Genomic DNA, 14,477 nt, shown 5'->3' with positions numbered 1-14,477 from the left:
ATTATAAAATCTATTTAACCTGCTTCATCTTTCTGATTTAAATCTAATAATTCATGTAGCATTTTTGAAAAGCGATGTTTGATTTTTTGCATAAAATTGATATCTGTATATGTTCTTTCTTTCTATAATTTTTTCCTGGAAAGTTTATTTTAAGACATAAAGGAACAGAAGTCCTTTGGGTTCAAATTATGAAGTATTACAGAGTATTTGCATTCTGTCTTTTTTGTCTTAATGTGCTTTAATTAAAAAAAAAAGATAAGACATCTTTTTGAAATTAATGGGAAGATACACAATATGAGCAATGATGGAGTTTTAAAATTTGTTCTTATTTTAGTTTTATATATTGGTATTTCTCAATCTATGCATTTACTAAGTATATTAATAGAAATATTCTTTCTTTTATATTAGGTTTCTGTCCTGAGACCACAGCAGAATGTGCCTTGGACAAAGGTGAGTATATTTAAAATATATTTTAAAATTTCTCCATAAATGAAGTATAAAAATATTATGACAATAATTATATTACTGTTGCATGCTTGGAAATACGGTATCATGGGACATGCACTTTTTGTCTGGTAATATGTAATAGTGAGAAAACATCAGAATTAGAATTCTGGCTATCAAATATATACCATTGCCTGGGTACAGAAAGCCTTAATCCATAAAATCTATATTAAAAGAACTGTTAACACTAATGCTCTTGCAAGTTAAATAATGGAACTATTCAAAGGTTGATGAAAGATGTTTAACATGTCTTTAATGACTCTGAAGATGAAATTATTGAAATAGGACATATGTAAATTAAATTATCAGGCAAGAACTACCTAAAAGTATCTAGGTTTTGGGGGAACAAATAGAGAAATACATTTAGAATTAAAACCAATTTAAAAAGAGGAAGGAATTAGGAAAATAAACACATTAACAGCTCAGTAAACAGTATATAAACGTACTACATGAAAGATAGGGGGGATAGTTCAAGGTTAATACACAATGCCTGTTATTTCAAACTGGAATGCTATCATGAAAAAAGATGTTATTAAAGATTATTGAAAAGATCATGAGCTATAACTGAGTTATAAAAGAGAGTTGAAAAGAAAATGTATAAGATGAATAAACGTTACATAGAGGAAAACCTGTGAGTACTGAGTAAGGGAACTAAGATTCCTGAGGACAGTCGTGAAGGAGGATGACAACTGACAAAATAAATATCACATACAGGAGCTATTAATTATCACGGCTTCTCTAAAGAGAAATTAACAAGAGAAAAATTGCTTGAACTAACATATAAAGAATTTACGGGCTGGGCGCGGTGGCTCACGCCTGTAATCCCAGCACTTTGGGAGGCTGAGGCGGGCGGATCACGAGGTCAGGAGATCGAGACCATCCTGGCTAACACGGTGAAACCCCGTCTCTACTAAAAATAAAAAAAAAATTAGCCAGGGGTGGTGGTGGGTGCCTGTAGTCCCAGCTACTCAGGAGGCAGTGGCAGGAGAATGGCGTGAACCCAGGAGGTGAAGCTTGCAGTGAGCCGAGATCATGCCACTGCACTCCAGCCTGGGCGACAGAGCGAGACTCCGTCTCAAAAATAAATAAACGAATAAAAGAATTTACGTAAGCTTCAGGATTAGGTAGTGGGAGAAGGTTAGTTATCATTTTTGTAGATATATTTAAATATTGAATAGATTCACAATGTCTGACAAGGGTTTCTCTAAAACTTCTCTACATCAGCTATCCTATTCAAGGTTCTTCCAGCCCCACACATGACTTGATGAGTCACTGTTCTTTATTTTTCCCTGTATTAGAGTAATTTTACATTGAAATAAAAGTTGGGCATCCTTGGTTTGAGGTTATCAGAAAAATGTAGGCATATATACTATCATTAGTAATTGATGCCTGTTCTATCTCATGCAAACGTAATGCTTGGGGAAATACGGTTATATGTACATACTCATATTTTTTATTTGGCCCAAAACATACTCTATGTTTTCTGCAGTGTTACTCATATGGAAGAAGAAAGCCTCCTATAAATGCGTATGTTAATAATTTTCTGAGATAATAAAATTGAAAACTCTCCCAGATATTTTTTTTGCCACTCTTTTTCATATAATTTTTTGGTCATTTTCCATATCTGTAAAGAGACTAATGTGACTTTAGAATATCCAAAGAAAATAAGCCAGCTGACGTGCACTGCCAGACAGGGAATGAATGGCTCCAGGCACAAATCTCTGTTGTGTCAAGGCTTTGGCATGACATTTGGCAGGGACTTAATCAAACATAGCACAATGCAAATAATCTCAGTTTCCCATGGATGTGCAGCTTCAACCTCGAGCCTGCTGTTAGTCATTACCACTCTTTTCTCCTGATATTCCAGAAAATGATATTTCTGGTAATGAACTGAAAACTAGAACATTTCCTAGGTGTTATTACACTGTGAGGCAGTTGGGGGGATCGTGACTTTGAAATTGGACCTTCCTGGGTTTGAAGTATGAGTCTGTCACTTGCTATCCGTGGAATCCTGGAGAAGCTACCTAAGATATAAAATGAATTTATTAACAATAATCACAGGGGTTGTGGAGGCATTAAAATGATACAATTAGCCTAAAGTGTTTCTTATATCTGTTATGTAATAAACATATAATAAATATGATTTTACTTTTTTCCATTTCTGTAATCAGCTGGATTTTGTTTTAAACTTCTTAATAATAATCTCAATCATCCTATTAATAGAAGAGGAATGATTCTAATATACACTTGTAAGTTTTGAGTTATGTAAGCACATGTGATAATATTTGTCTTTATCTTTTTAGGTGGGCACTCTTTTCTTTGAAGTGGGGGCAACGGTTTTTGCGAACTTCTTTTCAAAATTTCATTTATTTTTTAAAGATTTGTGTGTCATACATAAGGGGTCTTCATGTTGCACAAGCATATTTTGAATGCATTTGATTTAATTTTAGGTTTTGTTAGTATGATCAAAGATGGAACACCGCATTATAAAATGTAGATAGATTAGAAAAAATTATACCTCCATAGCATGCCCATAATATTTTAGTTCAAATGTTTGTTTCAACTCTCATTAATAAATAATTATGTGTCATATGGCATTAGGTGCTAAGGGTACAAAGAAGAAACAGATACATTATTTGCCTTCATAAGAGTTATAATCTTAGATGGGAAGAGACATGTAAATACATTAATTTTAACACAATATGCTACAATGGAGAGGTGCTCAAGGAATGGGGGTCGTGCAAATATAAAATAAATTTTAATCAATCTGGCTTCTTGGAGGGGTTGACACCTCATATATTTTAAAAAATGAGGAATTGGCCAAATATCAGTCATATATAGAGGCATGAGGGTGAGAGGTCGTCAAGAATGCATAATATTTCAATGTGATTGTGTCTATTTAAAAATATATAATTTTCAATTCTTTCTGTGACATGACAAAAGGAATTAAAGTACTTAGGGGTTAATAAACTTTTTAATGCAAATTATCAAAAAAGAAGAAGGACAGTGAAATAAAGAATGTGTTGTCTGAAGTCAAACAATGATAGTAGCAGTAAGTGTACAGATTGGAAAGTGGGGAGCTGAACCCTTTTACTTTGTTCTTGAAGGTAGATGTAGATTATAGTTAGGTTATTTTTACAGAGCTAAGATTTATGAATGATGTGTTTATCATATTGTTATTTGTAACATGATAATGGGAAACAAAATAATAAGGAACCTTTTATAAATTTTGATAAAATGTGGGATATTTTACTGTTACTAAAATTATAATTTTGAAGATTTTTTAAAGAAGACTGTTCTTAAAAACAGGACAAATTGTGAAATAATATTATAATACCATACCCCTTTAATACATATATATTATGTATGTAAAACAGATACATATGGATGGGTACTCAGTCATGTATTTGATGTGCTTTTGTTAGGGGACAGGGTTCAGGAAAATGCTTAGAAAAAGACTGAAAAGAAACACACCCATCATTATTAACAGTGATTATCTCTATGTCATGGGTATGCATATGTGTGATTTCTATTTTTTCTTGAAACTTTGATGTGTTTTACATTTTGTAGGATGAATCCATTGAATAACTTCTAACACAGCTGCTATAAAGACAGGGTTTTGAAGAGGTAATTAAGGTTAAGTGAGGTCATAAAGGTGGGATCCTAATTTGATAGAATTGGAGGCTGTATAAGAAGAGGAAGAGATCGCTCTCTCTTTCCCTCTCTGCTTACACACAAAGGAGAGATCATGTGAACACACAGCAAGATGGCAACCACCAACAAGCCAAGAGAAGAGCTTCAGAATAAAATCTACCTTGTTGTCACCTTGGTATTGAACTTCCCAGCCTCCAGAAATGTGAGAAAGAAATTTCATTTGTTTAAGCCACTTGGTCTATGGTATCTTGCTATGGCAACCCAGCTGATTAAGACAAACTTTGACATCAAGAAATAGGGTGCTGCTATGAATAATACCTAAAAAATCTGGAAGTGTCTTCACATCTTGATAATAAAGGCTAGAAGAGTTCTGAGTTGCATGAAAGAAATATATGCGGTTCTGATGAAGTCTTATGTAGAAATGAGGATCATGTCAGTGTAAACTGGAAGAGAATCAATCCTTTTTATAAGGCAGCAAAGAACTTGGCTGAATAGTGTTCTAGTGTTTTGTGGAACTTATGAGCAATAAAATTAGATGTTTAGCTGAGGAGGTTTCTGAGCAAAGTGTTGAAAGGGTGGCTTAGTCCCTCTTGATTGCTATGGTAAAATGTCAGAGGAGAGAGAGGAATTGAAGAACAAACTGTTAAACAAAAATAAAAGGAACCAAACCTAAAGATTTGGAAAATTTTCAGTCTGTTTATATTGCAAAAAAAGCAAGCGTACTCTGAAGAGAACACCAAGAGTGTAGCTAGACTGTCACTTCAAGAAGAGCTTTTGGGATTATACCAGCTGAAATCCTGCCAGTTTTTACTGAAGGGACAAAGATGGGACAAAGTGAAGAAAGACTGTTGGACTTCTTGGACTTGACAGGACAATAGGGCTTTTTGGCTGCAAACATTCACTATTCTTCCAAGAGGGAAGTTATCAGGGCTACTGCCACAGTTTCAACAGGTCAGACAACCTCTGTTCAGAGCCTTGAGGGCAGGACTGTCCTGGAGTGATGTAAGGGTGGGGTTTCCTATAGCCTTGGGATTCGGACACTGGCCTACAGTTATGGAGGTGGTGCTGCCACACTTGATCTTGGACTTTCTCTCCTCCAGAATTAGAAAATAAATTTATGTTTAAGTCATTCAGTCTTTGGTATTTTGTTAAGCCAGCCCAAGCAGACCAATATCCCAAAGCAATGAATATTAAAATATTATATTTTGCAAACATGATCAAAATAAAGAGGAAAGAGGTGGAGCATGGAATAATTCGCAGATTTTGATGTAGGCAATTGGGACTAATTCTGTTCAGTTTATGTAGAAATACAGAGTGGGGGGAAGGGGAGACAATTTGATGGAATGATAATGAATAGTTTTTTTTTAATTTCATCGAAATTTTTATTGAGATAATTTTACATTCATATGCAGCTATAAAACATAAGAGAGTCTGTACACATTGCCAAGTTTTCCCTAATGGCAACATTTTGGAAAACTATAGTATAATATCACAACCAGCATATTGAAATTGAGATAAACCCCCAATATTGTTCAGATTTACCCCATGCCCATTGTAATCATGTTTGTCTTCATTATGTTCTATAAAATGCTATCACCTTGTAAGTTTAAGTATCCTACCCCACAGTCAAGACATTGAATAGTTCCAACACTACGAGCATTTGACAGGTTGCCTTTTTATAACTACACTCACCTCCCTCCATTTTTCCACCCCAACCCTCTTCCTAAACAATACTTCCTGGCAACACTACTCTGTCTTCCATTTCTAAAATGTTGTCATTTTAAACATGATATATAAATGGAATCATACCTTTTGGGATTGGGTTTTTGCTTAGCCTAATTTTTGGAGATTCACCCAAGTTGTTGCATGTATCAATAGTTTGTTCATTTTTATTTTTGATCAGCATTCCATTGTATGTATGTGCTACAGTTTAACTTTTTATCTGTTGAAAGACACCTGGGCTGATTCCAGTTTTTGTCTGTTACACTAATGTATAAGCATTTGTATACGTGTTTTTATATGAATATGTCTTCCTTTATCTGGAATAAATGCCCAAGACTACAGTTGCTAGATTGTATGGCAGTTACATGTTTAGTCTTATAAGAAACTGCCCAACTGTTTTTCAGTGTAGCTGTACCATTTTATATTCCTAGCAGTGATGTATGAGTTAGCTCATTTCTCTGTATCCCTGCCAGCATTTGGTGGTGTTGATCGTTCTTATTTTAGCCATTCTGATAGGTATATACTGATATCTCATTGAATTAATATTTTTAATTTGCATTTCTCTAATGGCTATTGATGTTGAACGTCTTTTCATGTGGTTACTCACCATCTGTCTATCTTCTTCAGTGAAATCTTCATGTAGTTTGCCTATTTCCTCATCAGATTATTTGTAAACTGCTGAGTTTTGAGTACACGTATGAACAGTGCTGGAATATATATATATATGTGTGTGTGTGTGTGTGTGTGTGTGTGTGTGTGTGTGTGTGTGTGTGTGTGTGTATGATAGCTGAGTAAAGATGATGGGGAAGAAGAGATCTCTCAAAGTCCAGACAGACAATCAGGAGGCTGTACATATAAGTCCGAAGTCCTGAGAAGCAATAAAGGATAGAAATAAAGGTTATGAACATGTGACAGTTAAGAAGGTATTGGAGCAGGTCTTGGAGGGCAAAAATATCAAGCCCTTGTGTCTCCTTGAAATTCAGAATAATGTTTTACCCTCAAAAATTTTACTGTATGTAAATAAATACTCTTCTATTTCCTGGACTTTGTCTTACATAAAACACTAAGGTTTTCTCACTTATCATACACCTTAAATACTACCAGCATTTGAGTGGTTTCAGTAAGATGTATGAATGTTTTCAGTAACAAAAAAAAAGTAGATGTATTTTTGATATGTGGCATAGACCCGGGGAGACAGGAAAAGCTTGCTGAGGCTACAATCTAGAACTCAGATTACACACAGAAATAGGGTAGCGATATCCACTTTGTAACGAGATCCTTCTCAAGACACTATGAGAAACTTCAGAGGGAAAATCCATTATCTTGAATGTCTAGTGATAGACAATCTTGGCAATCTAGTTAAGCAGGCAATACTGGAAGTTTAACATGAGCAAAATGTACAACACCAGGTTAGAGGAGAAGGAAAGAAAGATATATTTGAAATTATAGAAAGAATAGAGCATATTTGTTTACAGAGGAGATCCAGTGGCAAAGGAAACAATTTATCATTTCAGACAGACCTTGGCCGGGCACAGTGGCCCATGCCTGTAATCTCAGCACTTTGGGAGCCCGAGGCAGGGGAATCACAAGGTGAGGAGTTTGAGACCAGCCTGGCCAACATGGTGAAACCCCGTCTCTACTAAAAATAAAAAAAGTTAGTTGGGCGTATTGGTGGGCACCTGTAATCTCAGCTACTTGGGAGGCTGAGGCAAGAGAATTGCTTGAACCTGGGAGGTAGAGGTTGCAGTGAGCTGAGATCGCGTCACTACACTTCAGCCTGGGTGACAGAGTGAGACTCCATCTCAAAAAAAAAAAAAAAAAAAAGACAGACCTTGACTATTTGAAGATGTTTGCATCATTTTCTGAATTCTACATTACAGACTGAGTTTATACTCAAAATTTAAAACTAATAAGGTACTGGTGCTAACCAAACAGAACTCCACTCAGTAGAGCAGGGACTGGGAGGCTCCTCAGCTGTACTAGCATTAACACTTTAATTACTGGGTTGTGGGGACTTCTTGAGGAGCGACCAAGACTACCAGAGCACTAGGGGCTGGGGTTTGCGGCAGTCAGTGCCAGTTTACCAATGGTACATAGTAGTTTAATATTTTAATAACCAATGTAATCATTACCAGTACAGACTGACTGAACACAGGCTAGACCATATGTGTATTACTATAGGATCTCAGGGGCATCAGGCTAGGAATAGATTTACTGTGAAAAAGGAGCTAGGGACCTGCTTGCTCAAAGATAGAAATTAAGGAATAAGTTATTTTTGAAAATTATTTTACTACGGAAATCATCAAAATTGGTTTGATAAAAAGTCTGAAATCTTGAGGGTATAAAATGATACAACTTTTTTTCTTTAAACACCACCTTCCATTCTCTGACAGCATTCCTTTCTTGCTGGGTAACATACTTGCTACCTTAATCACATTTGACAATTCTATAGCTTTTCAGTCACTTTTTGTTATTAAAGTGTCTTATTTTTATTATTAAGAATTAGTTTTGATTATTTTAAATCTTCAACCTCATATTTGATTCAGAGATCTTCCCCTTGCCTGTACACAAGAGAGACTTGATGTTCCAGTTGCTCTGAATATATGGGGGGTGGGAGTAGTGGGATGGGGGTTGGGGGTGGGTGGCGATGAGGGAATGGTAAGAGGTTCTGGAGCGTCCTTGCTTTCTCATGTCTTTTTCTGCTTCCCTGCTGTCTGTCTTGGTTGGGGCAAGGGAGGAAGGAGGGACACAGTCCTTCCATATGTAACTCTCCTTGGCAAGTGCTGTCTCTCCTTTGTTGGTTGTAGCCACTGTTCTATCTTTGGCTTTATGTACTTTCTGAGAACCTGGAACTCACACGCTGCCTCTCTCACAATCATTTGGTGATTCTTCAGATTACTTCTTGAGGGCACTTCTATAGTGTTGCCTAATGTGGCAGAGCTGGCTGAGGTTTGACCTTCTCCTACCCATCCCTACCCCTCATCAGCCACCATCACAGGTGGGCATATAGCAGTCTTCACATATGAGAAGGTACATGGGTTTGTGTTGCTTTCATAAAATAAAAACTGCCTTAAAAGTAAACATCAATAAAAATATACAAAAGCCAAGCGAATGGAAGTAAGAGAGCTACATTGAATAATGTCTGTTTTTTTATAAGGAAATAAGTGATGTTTTTATTCAGGAATAAAAAAAAAAGTCTGCTAAGGGAGAATACAATTTTTTTTTTTTTTTGCCATTTTTACTCTTGAGATGTGAACTGAGCAGTTCAAATACAGCCCGCAGGTGTTAGGATGTGTTTGCAATACACCCAATCAGTATTATTTGGGGACTTTTCCCCAGCAACACGAGAGGCTCACCGGCAGATATGGCAGTGGAACTATCCAAATGTAAGCACTGATAAGTTGGTAATAATTATGACTTAGATCAGAGATTCGGGGGTTCTAGGAACCCCCCAGGAAATGGCTTCACTTGGGCTCCACAATGTGCAAAGAAGGAAGTGAAGTCAATAATGGCAGGCTGGTAAAAATTAGCAGAGTCAAAATTCTTAGTTATGATGAGTAAGATGGTTAAAAGTATATACATATTTTTGGAAGGATGGCTTATGAATTCATGATGAAGATTTTATAAGATAGGCATATCCTTTCTTATATTTATATGAGAAACTGAATAATAGAATGCATAATATGTGACAGGCAAACTGAGTTTTAGCTAATCCCAAACCCCACATCCTTTCTATGAAATTCTAGTGGCTAATATATTAAAAAGAGAATAGGAAGATTGGGTTATAAGTTATTTTGATCAAATAAGAGATAATTATGTTATAATAAATTATTGCTCTGAATTTCCAAGTGTTTTAACTTTTTCTGAAATCGTTGTCTTCCCTATTGAGAAAATAACTGAACAAAAATGATACTGAAAATTTACATTAAACATCCATTTGTTTTTTCAAATTCATAAAATTAGTGTTTTCAGTTGCTTATGAAAGACTTATTTAAGCCCAGAAGCTGCTGTGTTAAAAATTGCAGATGCCAATGTATACTTCCTTACATCTTTTGTCTTTTATCATGATATTTAAATAGATTTATGTGCATGTAGCAGAGCTACTATTTGCATGAAACTTAACCGAAGAGTAAATATTAAATGTTTTCAAGCAGAGAATAAAAGATAAAATTGATTAGTATCCTTTGCACTTTTACTCTTTATATTATGAACAACTGCTAAGGAATGGTCATAAAGGGAATCTCGGTAAACTGCCCAATCTTTGTTATAGGGCCTGAATTCCTGTGAACTTTTGCTGTCATACTAAGTAGACCATCTAAGATAAAATAATTCTGTAATAAACATTCTTTTCATTGGTTTGAAGAAAACAGTGATTCTATAAAAGTATTTTATGAAACACATTCTTGTGGAAACTTTCCAGGTAAAATGAGCTTCACAGAAAAAGTAATTTGAAAACGACTAGCATGTTTTTCAGCACAACAAAGACATTGAAAACTTCTGCAGTAGAAAGTCACTAATGTTCAGTCTAGAAAAATGTGGAGCTAGCTTAACCACATGGGAGGCAGTATTTTGTAATCTTTAAGACTGTGGTCTCTGGAATCTGACAGGGTTTAATTGCTTGCTCTACTAATTTTTTTATTGAGGTAAAATTCATATACCATAAAAATAACCATGTTAAAGTGAACAATGCAGTGGCAGTTAGTACATTCACAATGTATTCACAAACTCTATCCAGTTCCAAAACATTTTCATTACCCCAAAGGAAAACTCTGTATCCACTAAACAGTTGTTCCCCATTCCTCCAACCCCCACCCCCTATCTGCTCCACTTGAATAAGTTGTGTGGACCTTCTGCTTACCCTCTTTGAGGCTCAGTTTCCCACTTATTCCTATATAGATAGAAATGGCTTTTACCTTATATGGTGGTTGTAAGAATTCAATAAAGTAACCAATACAATGAACGTAAACCATTGTTAAAACTGAATAAATGTTACAATGTTAAACTTGTGTAGCTCTCTTTTGAATCCAAAGGAACTAGTGTTCTAGCAAGCACTCTCCAGGAAGTGTGGATCAAAGTCATCACAAGAGGCAAATACTGAGAGAGAAACCATAGACTTTGTCTTATTTAGAAGCTAATGAATCTCACATAACCCTCTGGTGCTCCAGAAGACTCAGAGTTAGAATTTATGTTCATCTCTGTCGTTCGTCAGAATATTTTTTTCTAAAGTGGCTTGAGGTCGATATTAGAACAGAGAGGTGTTGAAAGAAGGAGGGAGTTTTCCAGATATCCTCAATCTAAAAATAAGAGGAATATAAAGGTTTATGAGAGGGAATGCATTTCTTCAATATAAGAATTGAAGGAGATAAAACAGCTGACAGCAGCTCTAACCTCGGTCTAATTATTTTCTACTTGATAAGAACGGTATTCATGATTATATAATTATTAAAAGCATCATTGACATGGAAAAGCAAACCATAAAATGTTTTAAAATATAAAATTATATGTTTTATGTTTATATATGTAAAATATGTAAATGTAATTACAGGTATAATTTTATATAAATTGAATAATATTTGACAATGAGTAAGTAAGTCTAAATGAATTTTTACCAAAATGAGAGCAGTAATTCCTATGCTGTATCAGAACCTCAGGTGTTTTTCGTTTGCCTTTGTATTCTTTTATACAATTGCTTAAATTTCCACGTGTGTAAATGCTACCTTACTAATAGAAACAAAGCAACCAAGCTGTATCAAGTAACAGTAGCGAAGGATTATAATAACTGTACTATATTTGTTATTTTACCCAATTTTTCTTCATAGTTGCTGGAAGCACAAACCTTTAGAAAAATATAAAACTGATTGTGAACCTTAAGCAGATCAGCTTGCCTCCAAAGGCCTGAGGAAGAAAGAATGAGGAAGAGTTTGAGGAGCTCTGCCTTATTCTTCCAAAAATACAATCTACCCTTAAACCGTGGTAACAGACAACAAACTGAAGCTGTCAATTCCTTTTTCCTGTCTTTTTAGTACAATTTTTTCCCAATTTTTACCCTTAAAACAATTTCTAATTCCTTCTCAAATTCTACAAAAGGTAGCATACTCAGTGATTTTAAAGGGAGATGATCATTTATCACCCCTTGGTACACTGGGAAGTTCAATTTCCTTCTCCTGATCTTCTGCAGTCTGTACTCTTTTCATTTGCCTCCTGAACCAAAAGATGCAAGATCTCACTGGGGTTCTCAAACCTGAGTGATTATAGGAATCATCTGGAGATCTTGTTTAATATGCAGATTCTTGTATATCTCCCCAAAATTTCTTATTCCTTAAATCCAGAATGGGGTCTGTGGCTCTGCAGTACAATATTCCAGGTTACATCAAAGCAGCTGATTCGCAAATTATCCTTTGATAAACACTGGAAGCTTTCAAGTCCTTAAAGTCTAACCTGCTTTGCAAACCTGTGATTAAAAAAAATAATTTCCTCCATCATTTTCTTCTAAAAGCATTGGTAATTCTCCTTAGCACCTTTTATTGAAGATGTGTTTGGTGATTCAGGTAGAACGTGACAGCTTATTCAGCATACCAATCACATAGGCTGTCCTCACATGCTAAATGCAGAAACAATTGAACAATCTACTTTACATAAACTTTCTTTTTAGAATATAGTCCAACTGCCTGTAACAAGTAGAAGAAACAAACCTTCCAATTATACTTTGTGATTAGGTTAATGTAATTTCAACAATATAGTGCCCTTAAAAATAAATTATTTAGTACATAGCATGTAATATCAGTATAATATTGTGTAATATATATAGTTTGTTTGTTAATAAAATGTCTCAAAGATGCTAATGCATTTTTTGCCAAATATTCTTGTGAAGCCGTCAAGAACTGCTATTATTTATCACCATTTGCAGAGAGATGGAATCACTGAGCTGTTAAGTAACTTGAAGAGGGTCACCGAGTCAGTGACTAAGTCAGAATAAACATTTCATCTCCTTGCTCCTTGAACAGTAGTTTTCTCAACAAATCCCATTGCATTTATTTCTTCCAGTAAAAGTTTACAAGTCATCCAGTTTCCTGGGAGGTTCTTCATTACGGGGCGTGTAAGAATTTGTACCCTCTGGAAGATTGAAAACTAGAACCAGGAAGTCATATTAAAGATAGTCCCTGTTTTTCAAAGACTCTTTCATTCCTCCAGTTCCCTTGTCATTAATTCTGTTTCACAGAACACATTTCCATTCATCCCTCCATCCTTTCATTCAAGCAATCAGTTTTTACTGAGCATATTTAATATTTAATATGTCTAGCATTCTGCTAATAAGTAGTTCTTTTCCTCAGATCATCCAGCCTGGTGAAGAAAAAGACACACAGACAAATGGTATAATATAATAATTGCTATATTGGATCTAGGGGATCTAAGTAAGCTTATGGGAAGAACATCTGAGTCTATTTGAGGAAATCCGAGTTTTCTTAGAAAATAGGAAATTTGAGCTAGGTTCTTAAGGGAAGAATTTGCATGGATTCAATGTAAGGATAGGGGCATGAAAAAGGGAAGACAAAGCTAAACCCTAAACATAATGCAGTCATATTCCATCCAAGATATAAATGGTGACCTCTGAATTTAAAATTTAGAGGCCCAATAATTACACCTGTAATTTTCAGAGAGCATCTGCGACACATTGGACCTTCCTTTTTGAGGCTTTGATAACCTCCAGGATGCACAATGTGGATCACACCAACTCTTGTGAACTTTCATACCCTAAGCTCACCCCATTAAAACCACCATCACTCTGGCAGACTGTTGATTTATAAAACCAAAATTTCTTTATTTTAAAATGTATAACAAGCAAACACACAAGAGAGCTAGTGTTTTTAAATGGTAAAAAATAAACAAAGGGAACAGTCACTCCCCACATTAGCCTTGCGTGCTTTAGCCTGAAGGGTATTTTTGCAACCAAGAACAAAGCCCTCAAAGTATAATGGAAACACTGACAGACACTTAACTATACCAGCTCTGGCGGGTCCAGCTATAATTCACTTCATAACACAAATTGATATGTTGTCCAGAGGGGTCCCTGTATTGGTGTTATTGAGTGTTTTTTGAAACGTTTTGGTTCTGGGCTATGAAGCTACAAAATGAAACTGAATGATTCTTTCTGGAATAGATTCTGTACTGGGCCCCTCAATTACAGTAGTGATGTCCTTGGGGAAAGACCACATGGAAATGTCCTATAAAAACTGAAAATATAAAATAATAAACCAAAGTGAAAAAACTAATGCAATGAAACAAAGTTTGTTGTATTAAAAGTCTAACATTTCTTCTCACAATGCATACTTAAAAGCAGAGCACACCAGAGGTGAAAAGGGGGCAGCTTGTTTTAATTTAAGTGGGGTTAGTTGTTAAGTAGAGAACAAGTACACTCTGTATTTGCAAAATCATGCAAGGGGCCAAAGTTCAGCCATTCCAGTGAACTTGCCAAGCAAAGTATGCTGTGTGTTTTATTATATAATGCAAATGACCTCAATCTGAGGTAGCAGCATTTCCAAATACCATTTAGGGCTTTAATGACTTGTCCTAGAAAGGTCGTGCCAGGCCATATTTAA

The 14,477-nt window shown here is 35.4% G+C and overlaps 1 protein-coding gene across 38 annotated transcripts in view; it reads left to right on the top strand.

The window, feature by feature from the left end:
• Positions 1–14,477, top strand: part of PTPRD (protein tyrosine phosphatase receptor type D) — a 2,298,757-nt gene that overhangs the window by 845,743 nt on the left and 1,438,537 nt on the right. For all 38 annotated transcript variants that reach the window (NM_002839.4, XM_017014961.3, XM_006716827.5 and 35 more), the window contains one exon: positions 409–450. The gene's annotated coding sequence lies outside the window, so the exon portion shown is untranslated. The remainder of the gene's footprint in view (positions 1–408; positions 451–14,477) is intronic.

This window comes from Homo sapiens, chromosome 9 (genome assembly GCF_000001405.40).
Source record: "Homo sapiens chromosome 9, GRCh38.p14 Primary Assembly".
NCBI lineage: Eukaryota > Metazoa > Chordata > Mammalia > Primates > Hominidae > Homo > Homo sapiens.
Note: the sequence above shows the minus strand (reverse complement) of the source record. Positions and strands in the feature narration are given on the sequence as shown.